At 47.1% G+C, this 14,027-nt stretch overlaps 2 annotated features.

Annotated features, from left to right (window-relative positions):
- Positions 8,226 to 8,345: an enhancer, noted in NCBI's record as "active region_2314". NCBI's record gives its function as "activates an Ori minimal core promoter by ATAC-STARR-seq in GM12878 lymphoblastoid cells {active_cell/tissue: GM12878}" and the evidence as "EXISTENCE:reporter gene assay evidence [ECO:0000049][PMID:35858748]".
- Positions 11,416 to 11,535: an enhancer, noted in NCBI's record as "active region_2315". NCBI's record gives its function as "activates an Ori minimal core promoter by ATAC-STARR-seq in GM12878 lymphoblastoid cells {active_cell/tissue: GM12878}" and the evidence as "EXISTENCE:reporter gene assay evidence [ECO:0000049][PMID:35858748]".

The raw sequence follows: 14,027 nt of genomic DNA on the forward strand, positions 1-14,027 counted from the left end.
CTAACAGCTGTATATGAGGCCCAGTAAGTAACTAGCACAGATTAGAGCGGGAGACTGGGGGCAGGCGAGGGGTATGGAAGAAAAAAAAAAGAAAAGAGAGAAGAGAGAAGAGTGCTCATAACTTCCTCACAGGTTTGGATCTACTGAGCCCTCTAGGCCAAGAGGAAAAAGAGGCTAATTTAGTCATGAAACATATATAGACAACTAAGCAAATAAAAACACGGCAAAACTTAACTTCAGAGAAAACCAAAAATCATATAAGTAGGGAAGGTTAATCATAATATACTACATGGGATGTAAGAAAATTTATCTAATCAAAGTTATGTAACTATTTTTAACTTAACCAAAACTTGAGATGAAACTAAATGTATTGAAAGGATGGGGGATGGGTTTGCATGGGGGCTGGGGTGAGGTTTGCACTGTTCTTGCCTTCCGTCACAAGAAGTCAGTTTAGATAGTATGTATTTATTTTTTTAATTAATTTATTTATTTATTTATTTATTTATTTATTTATTTATTTATTTTTAAGATGGAGTATCTCGCTCTGTCGCCCAGGCTGGAGTGCAGTGGCGAGATCCCGGCTCACTGCAACCTCTGCCTCCCAGGTTCAAGTGATTCTCCTGCCTCAGCCTCCTGAGTAGCTGGGACTGCAGGGGCCCGCCACCACACCCAGCTAATTTTTGTATTTTCAGGAGAGACGGGGTTTTGCCATGTTGGCCAGGCTGGTCTCAAACTCCTGCCCTCAGGTGATCCCGCCTCGGCATCCCAAAGCACTGGGATTACAGGCATGAGCCACCACACCTGGGCTAGATAGTATTTAAACTGAAAAATCTACAAAGAGCACTATCAGGCTGTTGTTGCAAATACACATTGGAATATCAGAAAAATTAAGTGGCTGCCTTTGGGGAGAGTGGGGCACAGGAAACTGCTGTTTTCATTATAAGAAATGTGGCACTTTTTCATCTTTCTAAACTGTGGCCATTCATTGTCTTCATAAAAATTAAAATCAGCTAATAAAAAGAAGCACGTGGGCATACATGAGGAAGTGAGAGAGTGAGCTTCTTTTTCAAGGAGGTTGGATTTTAAAATATGTAAAGATAAATAGAACAAATATCTGAGGTGGACACGGGGTCAAAGGAGTAGTTGTTAGGATGACAAAGAAGTGAGCATGTTTATAGCAAAGAGAAGGTGCCTGTGGAGAAAGAGCTAACAGGAACAGAGGATTGTTGTTGGGAGGCATTAGTGCCTCCCAACAACATCTTCTTTAAAAATAGAAAAATCCATCCTAAAATTTATGTGGAACCTCAAAGGACCCTAAAACCCAAAACAATTGTGAAAAAGAACAGCAAAGCTGGAGGTCTCACAGTTTCTGATTTCAAAACTTAGCTACAAAGCTACAGTCTTCAAAACAGTGTGGTACTGGCATAAAGACAGACATATCAATCAATGGAATAGAATAGAGAGTCCAGAAACAAACCCTCGCATATATGGTCAAATGATTTTAGACAAGGGTGCCACAACCCTTCAGTGGGAAAAAGACAGTCATTTCAACAAATGGTGCTGGGGAAAGTGGATATCCACATGATAAAGAATGAAGTTGGACCCTTACGTAACACCATATGCAAAAATTAACTCACAATGGACCAAAGACCCAAATATAAGAGCTAAAAACTACAAAACACTTAGAAGAAAATGTAGGGCAAAACTTTACGACATTGAATTTGGCAATGACTTCCTGGATATGACACCAAAGGCAGAGGCATCAAAAGCAAAAATAGACAAATTGGACTTCATAAAAATTGAAAACTTTTATGCATTAAAACACACTACCAACAGAGTGAAAAGGCAACCTGCTGAATGGGACAGCATACTTGCAAATCATGTATCTGATAAGATATTAATATCCAGAACATATAGAGAACTACAACTCAACAACAAAACAACCAACCAGATTAAAAAATGGTCAAAGGACTTGAACAGGTATTTTTCCAGAGAAAATATATGAATAGTCAATAAGCACATGAAAAGATGCTCAACTTCACTAATTGATAGGGGAAATGCAAACCAAAACCACATTCCACCTCACACTCATTAGGATGGCTCCCATCAAATACACAGGAAATGACAAGTGTTGGTGAGGATATAGAGAGATTGGCACACTAGTGCACTGTTGTTGGGAATAGAAATACAGCCACTGTGAAAAACACTATGGCAGTTCCTCAAATATTAAAAATAGAATTACCATATGACCCAGCAATTCCACTCCTGAGTGTAAGAACTGAAAGCAGGATCTTGAAGAGATATTTGTACACCTGTGTTCATAGCATCATTATTCACAATAGCCAAAAGGTAGAAGCAACACAAGTGTCCATCAACAAAAGAATGGAGGCTGGGCACGGTGGCTCACACCTGTAATCCCAGCACTTGGGGAGGCCAAAGTGGAAGGATCACTTCAGCCCAGGAGTTTGAGACCAACCTGGGCATCATAGTGAGGTCCCACCTCTACAAGAAATTAAAAAAAAAAAATTAGCTAGGCATGGTGGCTTCTGCCTCAGCCTCCCAAGTAGCTGGGACTACTATAGTAGGGAAGCTGAGGCAGGAGGATTGTTTGAGCCTGAGAGGTTGAGGCTGTAGTGAGCCATGATTGTGCCACTGCACTCCGGCTTAAGTGACAGAGTGAGACCTTGTCTAAAACAACAAATGAATGGATAAACAAAATGTGATATATACATACAATGGAATACCTGTACACCTGGGCAACAGAAAGAGACCCCATCTAAAACCAATAAGCTTGTGAATAAACAAAATGTGATATATACATACAATGGAATATTATTCAGCTTTAAAAAGGAAAGAAATTCTCACACATGATATAACACAGGTGAACCTTGAGAACATTAAGCTAAGTGAAATAAATCAGTAACAAAAAGGCAAATGCAGGCCTGGTGTGGTGGCTCATGCCTGTAATCCCAGCACTTTGGGAGGCTGAGGCCAGCAAATCACTTGAGGCCAGGAGTTTGAGACCAGCCTGACCAAAATGGTGAAACCCCGTCTCTACTAAAAATACAAAAAAAAAAAAAAAAAAAAAAAAAAAACTAGCCAGGCGTGATAGTGCATGCCTGTAATTTCAGCTACCCAGGAGGCTGGGGCAGGAGAATCGCTTGAACCCAGGAGGCAGAGGTTGCAGTGAGCCAACATCGCATCCCTGCACTCCAGCCTGGGTAACCAGGTGAGATTCAGTCTCAAAAAAAAAAAAAAAAAAATAGAGACAAATGCTTTATGATCTACTTATAGGAGATTCCTAGAGTGGTCAAATTCGTAAGGCAGAAAGTAGAATAGGGGCTGGGGGAGGGGGCGTGGGGAGTTATTGTTTAATGGGTACAGAGTTTCAGCTTTGCAAGATGAAAAGAGTTCTGTGGATGGACAGTGGTGATGGCTGCACAACAATGTGAATGTACTTAACACCACGAAACTCTACACTTAAACATGGATGGTTAATATGGTAAATTCTGTTAAGCATACTTGCCATAATAAAGAAAAATTGAAAGAGAAAGGAAAAAAGAAAAGAGCACCAGTGGCCAGATTGGCTTCAACAGGAAAAGGAACATGATCCCTGAGGCAGGAGGGGAGAGAGGTGTGGATAGAGAGAAGCTGGGCATTTGTATGGAATCAGGTTAAGCGCATCCAATAGTTGGCTTTCTCAGGGAAGGAAAAGGTAAGGGTGTTTGTTAAAATGCAGGAAAAGTGGGGGCCAGGTGGGGTGGGGTGAGGATGAGGAAGCACGCTCACCCATGCCTGTCTTAGGGCTCCTCTGAGTCAGGGATGCACATAAAATATATGTCTGGAAACCAAAAACAACTTAAAAACCATTCAGATCTTAACTAAAGTCCCTTTCCCCTTCTGAAAAAAAAAAAAAGTCAAAGAGGCAATTACATTCATGATGCCCAGCCTTCTCTCTGCCTCTGGATCTCACACACCAGAGCAGCTTTCCCAGCATCTTCGTCTCATTCCTGCTCCCTGCACCTGGAAGCCTCTCTCCCAGCTGTGCCCCTGCAAACCCTGCTTCCCCAGGCCCAGAGCCCATGGGAGGGAAGGAATGGGCTGAGGCAGGCAAGGCCTAGTTCCACAGAGACACTCAGGGCCAGGGAAGGATTTGATGGCTGTCCGGGGCCAGGGAGTCCAGACGGTGACCTTAGTGCAGGCGTCTGAAGCCTGAGAGAGGGGAAGGGGCAGGAGAGCAAGAAGCAGCAGGCTCTAGAGGATGATGGGTCTCACCGCGGAGCAGGCTCTGAGAAGGATAGATTGGATTTGAACAGGCAGACCGGAGGAGGGTGTGAGGACAGGCAGGTGCCATGGACTAAATGTTGTGACCCTGAAACTGTGAGGGTCACTACAACTGTGACCCTCTACAGTTTTGTTTTGTTTTGTTTTTTTCTGAGATGGAGTTTTGCTTTTGTCACCTAGGCTGGAATGCAACGGCACAATCTTGGCTCACTGCAACCTCCACCTCCCGGGTTCAAGTGATTCTCCTGCCTCAGCCTCCTGAGTAGCTGGGATTACAGGAGCCTGCCACCATGCCCAGCTAAGTTTTGTATTTTTAGCAGAGATGGGGTTTCACCATGTTGCCCAGGCTGGTCTTGAACTCCTGACCTTAGGTGATCCACCCACCTCAGCCTCCCAAAGTGCTGGGATTACAGATGTGAGCCACCCCACCCAGCCTCCCTCTAAAGTTCATATGTTGAAATCCTCACCTGCAATGTGATGGTGTTAGGAGGTGGGGCCTTTGGGAGGTGATGAGGTCATGAAGGTAGAGCCCTCATGAATGGAATTAGTGCCCTTTTGAGAAGAAACATGAGACAGATTATTTTTCTCTTGATTATGTAAGGATACAATAAGAAGACAGCCATCTGCAAACAAGGAAGAGAACCCGCACCAGACAAAGAATCTGCCAGCACCTTGAGCTTAGACTTCCCAGCCTCCTTCACAGTTTTCCAGAACTATGAGAAATAAATTGTTGTTTAAGCCACCAGGACTATGTTGTTCTGTTCTATCAGCCCCAGCTGACTAAGATTGCAGAGAAAGGCAGAGGGAGCTATGCAAGCAAAAGTTTGAAGGGGAGAAAGCAGAGGCATGGTGAGATCCTGCAACCTCTCTTTGTGGTCAGACCATAGGAGGCTGGTAGGAAGGGAGGCAAGAGAGGAAGGCTGACGTCATCGGAAAGTCTTTGAATCCCAGCTAAGTGACGTGGACCCACCCTACAGGCAAAGGCATCCTCTGATTGATTTTAGGGGATGCAGGATAATCAAACCTGAGTTTTAGGAAGGTAACTGTTGATAGCGGGGCAGGGACTGCAGGCAGAAAGGGAGGTAGGAGGAGTCAGGGTGATTCAAGTAAGCAGCAGTGATCCCTGGCCCAGGGTAGAGGCAGAGGCGTATTTATCAGATATTTATCACCCACCTGATCTCAGTCAATTTCCTTGGGGATCTCAATGCACTCATTCACACTAAAGTGTAAGTAACAAGACCTGGCTTTTACCTCCCCTGGAGCATTTATGTTTTACCAGGACAGCGTCTGGTGGTGGAAAGACAGTGGAATTTGAAGCTTTCTGACTGTTGTGCCACTAATATGGTTTGGATGTGTGTCTCTGCTCAAATCTCATGTGAAATTGTAATCTCCAGTGTTAGAGGTGGGGCCTGGTGGGAGGTGGTTGGATCATGTGGGTGGCTTTCTCATGAATGGTTTAGCACCATCTCCTTGGTGCTATCCTCGTGATAGTGAGTGAGTGATGTGAGTGAGTTATCACAAGATCTGGTTAATTAAAAGTGTGTAGGCTGGGCACGGTGGCTCACGCCTGTAATCCCAGCACGTTGGGAGACCAAGGCCGGTGGATCATTTGAGGTCAGGAGTTCAAGACCAGCCTGGCCAAGATAGTGAAACCCCATCTCTACTAAAAGTACAAAAATTAGCCAGGCATGGTAGCATATCCCTGTATTCCCAGCTGCTCGGGAGGCTGAGGCAGGAGAATTGCTTGAGCCTGAGAGGCAGAGGTTGCGGTGAGCTGAGATTGTGCCACTGCACTCCAATCTGGGCAACAGAGTGAGACCCTGTCTCCAAAAAAAAAATTTTTAAGTGTGTAGCACCTCCCCTCTCTCTCTCTTCCTCCTGCTCCCACCATGCAGGACGCCTGTTCCCGCTTTGCCTTCTGCCATGAGTAAAAGCTCCCTGAGGCCTCCCCAGAAGCAGATGCTGCCATGCTTCCTGTACAGCCTGTGGAACCATGAGCCAATTAAACCTCTTTTCTTTACAAATTACCCAGTCTCAGGTATTTCTTTATAGCAGTGTGAGGACGGGACTAATACAGCTATCAACAAACCAGGTGACCTTGGTCGGATTATTTATCCTCTCTGAACTTCAGACTCATCTATAAATGGGAACAATGACACTACCATCGCAATTGTTGTGAAGGCCAAATAAGATAATGTCAATGAAGAGAGCCCTGTGAATCATCAAGAGAGACGTTGGCCTTTTAATGAAACTGAATGAATAAAGTATTCATGGTAGAAGTTTCAGGCATGAGCAGCGAAGATGAGGCTGGTGATGTGTCTGTGTGTACTCCTGGAGGGATCCCACCTTCAGGCAGCTGACCCCCACATGAAGCTTAGGGGCTTCAGGAGAATCAACACGAGAGCTTATACACCAGGGAACAGTATTAACTGCAATTGCTACAATGCCACACTTGACATATTCAAGCCTTGGAGAAAAACTGTAAGTACGGTAGATTCTTGTTATTTGGGTAGTTACATTCTATAAAGTCTCTGGGAACCCAGAATTAGCAAGTACTGACCAATTGCTCCTAGTGGAAATACAGGATTATGTTCTTGCAAGCCTGTGATCACAATGTTTTTTATCAATTTTTAAAATTAGTTTGTGACTGGGCATCGTGGCTCACGCCTGTAAGTAATCCCAGCACTTTGGGAGGCCAAGGCAGGCAGATCACTTAAGGCCAGGAGTTCGAGACCAGCCTGGCCAACATAGCAAAACCCTGTCTCTACTAAAAAATACAAAAATTAGCCGGGTGTGGCACATGCCTGTAATCTCAGCTACTTGGGAGGTTAAGGCACGAGAATCTATTGAACCCGGGAGGTGGAGGTTGCAGTGAGCTGAGATCACACCACTGCACTTCAGCCTGGGCGACAGAGAAGACTCTGTCTCAGATAGATAAATAAATAAATAAATAAATACATAAAATCAATGTATAACCTTGTATTATATGTGTTTCTGTTTAAGGACACCTTATTTAGGCATTGTGGCACTTGTCTGTAATCCCAGCACTTCAGGAGGCCAAGGTGAGGCAGGAGGATCCCTTGAACTTAAGAGTTTGAGACCAGCCTAGGAAGACCTCGTCTCTACAAAAAACTTTTTAAAAATTAGCCAGGCACAGTGGTGAGCACCTGTGGTCCCAGCTACTCAAGAGGTCAAAGTGGAAAGATCTCTTGAGCCTGACAGGTCAAGGCTGCAGTGAGACGTGATGGCACCAGCTCACTCCAGCCTGGGTGACCAGAGTGAGGCCCTCTCTCAAAAAAAAAACAAAAAGGTGTCATATTTAATATTTATTGTTGATTCACTAACATTGAACTCACAGCCAACAGACTATAACTCATACCTGCACAAAGCTTATCTAACACATAGATTTTCTCCACAAGGCACATCACAGCCTTCTTGCACTAAGGAACGCCAGACAGCACTTCAGCACTATGCTTGGTGGCAATTTTGAACAGTAAAATCACCAACAAAAACCACAGATATGAAAAAAAAAAAAGGCACTAAATAGACCAAGAAAAGGACCCTTGCTTACTGGATGAGAACTGAAATGAGAAGCCAAAGTGTCATCTTATTTGTCTCAAGTTTTTTGACACTCTGTATAGCTGCCAGCGATCACAGCTCCACAAGTATTGATGTGGGGGTTACAAATAAATTTCAGCAAGTACACTCAGTTGCAAATATGAAATCCACAAATAACAGGGACCAACTCTGTTGCTCTCATCATTCTACAGAGCAAGAAACTGAGGCTTATCAAGATAAACATCTTGCACCCAGCCAGCAAATGGGAGAGCCAGGATTCAAACCCCATACATGAAGCTTCCACGCCCAGGATGTTAGCACTATTGCACACTATTGCTTCTTATTTCACAAATAACTCCCTGAGGCCCAGAGAGGTTGCTGAATCACCTAAGGTTCCACAGGTGCTGGGGGCAGTGTGGGGGCTGATCCCAAGCCCTGGATCCATGGACCCTCCCTTTCATGAACTGCCTGACCTGCCTGTGTTGTGCCATCTCGCCTCTCATAATCTTTCTCTCCGCCCCCACCCAGGGACCCTGGGAACAGTTTAGGGAGTGGGGAGCTGGGGTCAGACGAGTCATCCTGTGGGATGGAATCTGACTGCTCCTTAAGCAGCTCAGGCAGACATCTAGGTGGGTGAGTGCAGGTTAGGCCACCAGGGGGCAGCCCCACCCTCCCCGCACCCTACATCCGGCAGCTCCCAGCACACACAGGGCGCGCCTCGACCGCCAGAGTGGTCCAAGAAAAGGCGAAAGGACAATGGGGTAATTGATGCAAATGCACCATGAAAGACAAATTGTTCAGATGAAGTGCATTCCGGGCTCCTGCCAAACGCCCAGGGTGTGTGGAATTTCAAGGAAAAGCTGAGTACATTTAGGCCGTCTGGCTGGGCCACTGTGCCCCCTGACCCAGCTTCCAGCCTGAGCCACAGCTCCCTTCCCTGGAATGTTGCAGGCTTGGCCTGGGCTCCCAGCGGCTGACCCTGGCATGGGGGTGGGGGGGCAGTGGGAAGGGACGGAGCAGGTGGTGTGATGGGAGGACCCTGACCTTTACTGCAAAAAGGACCCTGGCACCCACGCTTTCAGACGGCCTTCGGGCCTCTCGAATAAATTCACCACACATACTCCATCCCCACTCCCAGAGCTGCTGTGAATGCTGGCACTTCCTCTTACTCCCTGGGTGGCCTCAGGTAAAGCCTTCCTTCTCTTTGAACCTGTTTTCTCATCTGTAAAATAGGGGTAATCATCTTTTGCATTTATACCCTACAGGGTTGTGAGGATCAAATGAGAAAGGTCAGGAAACTTCTGTTCCTTTCTATTCAAAGAAGGCCACTTCTCAAGCTCCACAAGAAGCCACCCAGAGCAGCCAATCTCCTGCCTCCCCCAGACTCCAGAAACCCAAAACTTGCTACCCAGCCTCACCCCTGGCTCCCTGGAGACCTCTGGGTGACCCTGGCCCCAGCACTGGCCCTGTAGAAAGACTCTCAGCCTCCCTCCCATCACAAGATCTGAACTTCCGACCACCCCCCAACGCAGAGAGGGTGGAGCAGGATCTGAAGCTGAGGCCTGCACAAGGGCCCCTTGTCCTGCTGGGCAGCCTGGCACGATCTGTCCTGTCCCAAGGAGGCTCGCTGGGACTATTGTCTTTGTGTTGTGGCTTGGGGGAGGGGCAGATCATGGTTCATCAGGGCCAGGCCAGAGGGACGAGGCTCACACTCCAGCCCATCTCCTGGAGTGGCAGGTTTTGATACCTTCCTCCCACTCCACAATGGCCAGACATGTGCCAGGATTTGTTCTGGATCCTTCCAGGCTGCTGGGTCCCATTGTTAATCAAGGTGCCTCCGCACCCTGCTTCCTGCCATTGCCTGCCTGAAAAAGCTCAGTTTCCATCTTCTATCTTGATAATCCCCATCCCATCCTTGTTCCTTCCCTGTCTTTATTATATGAATTATTTACTAAATCATGCAATGCACCTAACAGAGTACTGACCCACAATTACCTTTCAACAAAATGCTAGTACTGCCCAGCTACCATTCCAAGTCACTCAGGATAAGGATTTATTTTATTATTATTTTTATTTTATTTTATTTTATTGAGATGGAATCTCGCTCTGTCACCCAGGCTGGAGTGCAGTGGCACTATCTTGGCTCACTGCAACCTCTGCCTCTGGAGTTCAAGCGATTCTCCTGCCTCAGCCTCCTGAGTAGTTGGGATTACAGGCACTCACCACCATGCCTGGCTAATTTTTGTATCTTTGGTACAGACGGGGTTTCACCTTGTTGGACAGGCTGCTCTCGAATTCCTGGCCTCAAGTGATCTACCCACCTCGGCCTCCAAATGTGCTGGGATTACAGGCGTGAGCCACCACGCCTGGCCGAGGATTTATTAGTAAAACTCCCAAGCCTTTGCTCTGGACCCCATATTCCCATTTTTGCTCCCTTTCCCTCCTGTTGGCCCTACTTCTTCTACGGTGCCTTCAGCGTCTTCCTGCAGCTGTGCCAGGGCCAGTTTTCAGGTCCCACAGACCTGAGCTCTGATCCCAGCTCCCACACTACACAATCTGCAATTTTGAGCAAGTTACATATTAAACTTCCCTGATTCTTAATTTCCTTATCCACAAAGTGAGAAGGGATTATCTCTGCTACAGGGGGCAAGTAAGATCAAATAAGATAGTGGTCATGAAAACCTCATGAAAATTTATTACCAGGCCACACAGCAGAGATTTTATTACAATCATCAACGTGCTAATGGATGGCCTTCCCACCCACCTGGAGATAAGAGTATCCTCTTCCAGCTTCTTGGAGACTATAATAATAATTATCCTTATTATTATTAGGTGTGTAATGACTTAACTTTACTGAGAATTTTCACACCCTTCAAAATGTTACAACATTCCCAAAGAGATCCTGTGTTAGAAGAGGTAGGGGAAGAAAAATAATTTTGGAAAGCTGGAAACTTCCAGCATCACTTGGGTCATTTACAAATAATTTGTTTTCTGCCAGAGATAACCAAGGTCCTCACATCCTGGACACTTACAGTCTAGCAAGGAGAGGGCTGCTAGATTTCAGCAGCCCCGCCCTGGGGCCAGTGTACAGTTATTTCCAGTGGGTCCGGCGTTCATCCCAAAGCCCAGTATAGTCTGGGGCTAGACAAAGGCCTTTCGGATGCCAGCGACGACCAAAGAGGAGGCTCATGCACCCCAGGCAACACCCTTCCTGCCCTGGTCCTGACAGCCACACCAAGGGTTAACCAGACCCAGCCCTTCCTGGCTACTGGCAGGACAGGCAGGCTTAAGTCCCCTCAATAAACAATAGTGGGGCCACTTGCCAGCACCACACACATGAGCAAAAACTCTGCTTGGACCTGAAGAGCCCCCTCACCCCACCCCTTCCCAGCTGCTCAGGCCCAGGGAGGGGTTCGCAGTTCTGGAAAGGGTTAAGTCTGCAGGAGGTGCCTGGGACCCAGCTGTTTCCTGTGGGCAGGGGCGGGGGATTTACAGCCTCCCCCACCGTGGGGCTACCAAGCCTGTGTTGGGGAAGGATGCCTCTGAGTCCTTGCTCTGAGGCCAGACTCCCGTCATGCAGCCAGGGCCTCCCACGCAGGCGCCAGCAGAAAGGAGGGGGCAGGAAAGAGGAGCCTCGGGATCCAGGAGAAAGCAGGCTGGCCTCTGCAGAACAAAATGGGCAGATGGGGAGCTGGCCCTGTCAGTCCCGGGCCTCACCTCATTTGGAGACGGTAGCCTGTGGCAGGGAAGTTGGTCTGGGAGTTCAGGCACTAGGCTTCCATTTCAGGTGAAAATGTGATGTTATGCTGCTCTGTGCCTCGGTTTCTTCCCTGCTGGGCACACCCTTGGTGGCAGCCCCCACAAAGTGTCCACTTCCTTTATTTCTTTTTTTTTTTTTTTTGAGACAGAGTCTTGTTCTGTTGCCCAGGCTGAGTGCAGTGGCACAATCTCAGCTCACTGCAACTTCCGCCTCCTGGGTTCAAGCAATTCTCCTGCCTCAGCCTCCTGAGTAGCTGGGACTACAGGCGCATGCCACCATGCCCGGTTAATTTTTGTATTTTTAGTAAAGATGGGGCTTCACCATATTGGCCAGGTCTCGAACTCCTGACCTTGTGATCCGCCTGCCTCCGCCTCCCAAAGTGCTGGGATTACAAGAGTGAGCCACCGCGCCCAGCCAAAGGGTCCACTTTCTAATCCCGGGAACCTGTGGATGTTACCTCATATGGCAAAGACTTTGCAAATGTGATGATGTTAAGGAACTTGAGATGGGGAGATTATTCTGGATGAGCTGGGTGGGCTGTAAAGTTCATCACATGTCTTTATTAGAGGAAAGCACATGGAGATTATAGACAGCAGAGGAGAAGACAATGTGACCACAGAGGCAGAGGTGAAAAGTACTATCCCGTAAGCCACAGGACACCTGGAGCCACCCAAAGCTAAAAGAGGCAAGACATCATTTCTCACCCAGAACCACTACAGAGAGCACAGCCTTGCCAACACCTTGACTTTGGCCCACTGATTCTGATTCCGGATCTTTAGCTCCAGAACTGCAGGAGAAGGAATTTTTGTTATTTTAAGCCACCAAGTTTGGGGTAATTTCTTACAGCAGCCCCAGGAATCCAGTACCCCCTCCTCACCCGATAGAACAGAGGAGAACATGTGCCCGGCCCTGGCTCCCTCAGGAAGGGGCTCTTTTTCTATGTTGTGTTGGAGAATTTCCTTTTGAAGGAGTTCATCTGCCCTGCCATGGGATAGCACTTTTAATTGGTCAAAAACGACACTCCTAGTTGGGCTTGGTGGTGGGCGTCTGTAGTCCCAGCTACTCAGGAGGCTGAGGCAGGAGAATGGCATGAACCTGGGAGGCAGAGCTTGCAGTAAGCGGAGATTGTGCCACTGCACTCCAGCCTGGGCGACACAGCGAGACTCCATCTCAAAAAAAACAAAAAACAAAAAATGACACTCCAGGCTGGGCGCAGTGGCTCATACCTGTAATCCCAGCACTTTGTGAGGCCAAGGCAGGTGAATCACCTGAGGTCAGGAGTTCAAGACCAACCTGACCAACATGGTGAAAACCCATCTCTACTAAAAATACAAAAAAAAAAAAAAAAAATTAGCTGGCATGGTGGTACATGCCTGTAATCCCAGCAACTTGGGAGGCTGAGGCAGGAGAATTGCTTGAACCTGGGAGGAGGTTCAAGTGTAAGTTGCAGTGAACCGAGATTGCACCATTGCACTCCAGCCTGGGCAACATGAGCAAAACTCGGTCTCAAAACAAAAACAAACAAACAAACAAAAAATGACATTACAGCCTCAGAACAGTCCAGGATGCCCTGAGGTAGGAAGGTAGGAAGTCCTATGCTAAGCAGGCCAGCTAGAGAAGGTGCATTGCCCAAACGGGAAGCAGAAAAACCCAGCTCTTCTTCCACCAGCTCTCAGTCTTTTGGTGACTCGCGTGGACTCCAAGACCATGGGGCTGAGCCCTGAGCACTTTCCCTGTGATAGCCTGGCCCCCTCCCAGAGCCCAGGGCACTCTGGTGCCTTCTAATAGCCAGTAATCTCAGGGTGACCTGCTCCTATTTTTTGAGAAGGCAAACTGCTAAATCTGGGGAAAGGTGGGGAGGTAAAGAGGGATAGAGATTCTATAATCTCAATCACTCAGCAAACACTGAACTCTTACTGTGTGCCAGGCACAGGGTTAGGCACTAGAGATAAATGGTAAAGAGAAGGTGGTTCCTACCTAGAGAGGGATATAAACAAGTAAACCAAGGCTATACCAGTAAGAGTGTGTAAAGGGTAATGACAGATGTATGCAGAGAAGGGGCACTTGGCTCTGACTAGGGGTAAGAGAAGAACCCTGGCAAGGCTTCCCAAAGAAGATTCCATATTAGTTACCTATTGCTGTGTAACAAATTATTACAAATTTAGTGGCTTAAAACAACACACACATATGGTCTCACAGCTTCTATGGGTCACAAATTAAAGCATGGCTTGACTAGGTCTTCTGCTTCAGGGTCCATCACAAGGCTGCATTCAAGGTGTCTGCCAGGATGGGGTCTCATCTGAAGGTTCAAGTGAGGAAGGACCTTCTTCCAAGCTCACAAGGTTGTTGGTAGATTCAGTTTCTTGTGGGCTTTGACCAGAGGCCACCCTGGCTACCCTCAGTTCATTGCCAAGTAGGCCTTTAA

Source organism: Homo sapiens, chromosome 1 (genome assembly GCF_000001405.40).
Source record: "Homo sapiens chromosome 1, GRCh38.p14 Primary Assembly".
NCBI classification, from domain to species: Eukaryota; Metazoa; Chordata; class Mammalia; order Primates; family Hominidae; genus Homo; species Homo sapiens.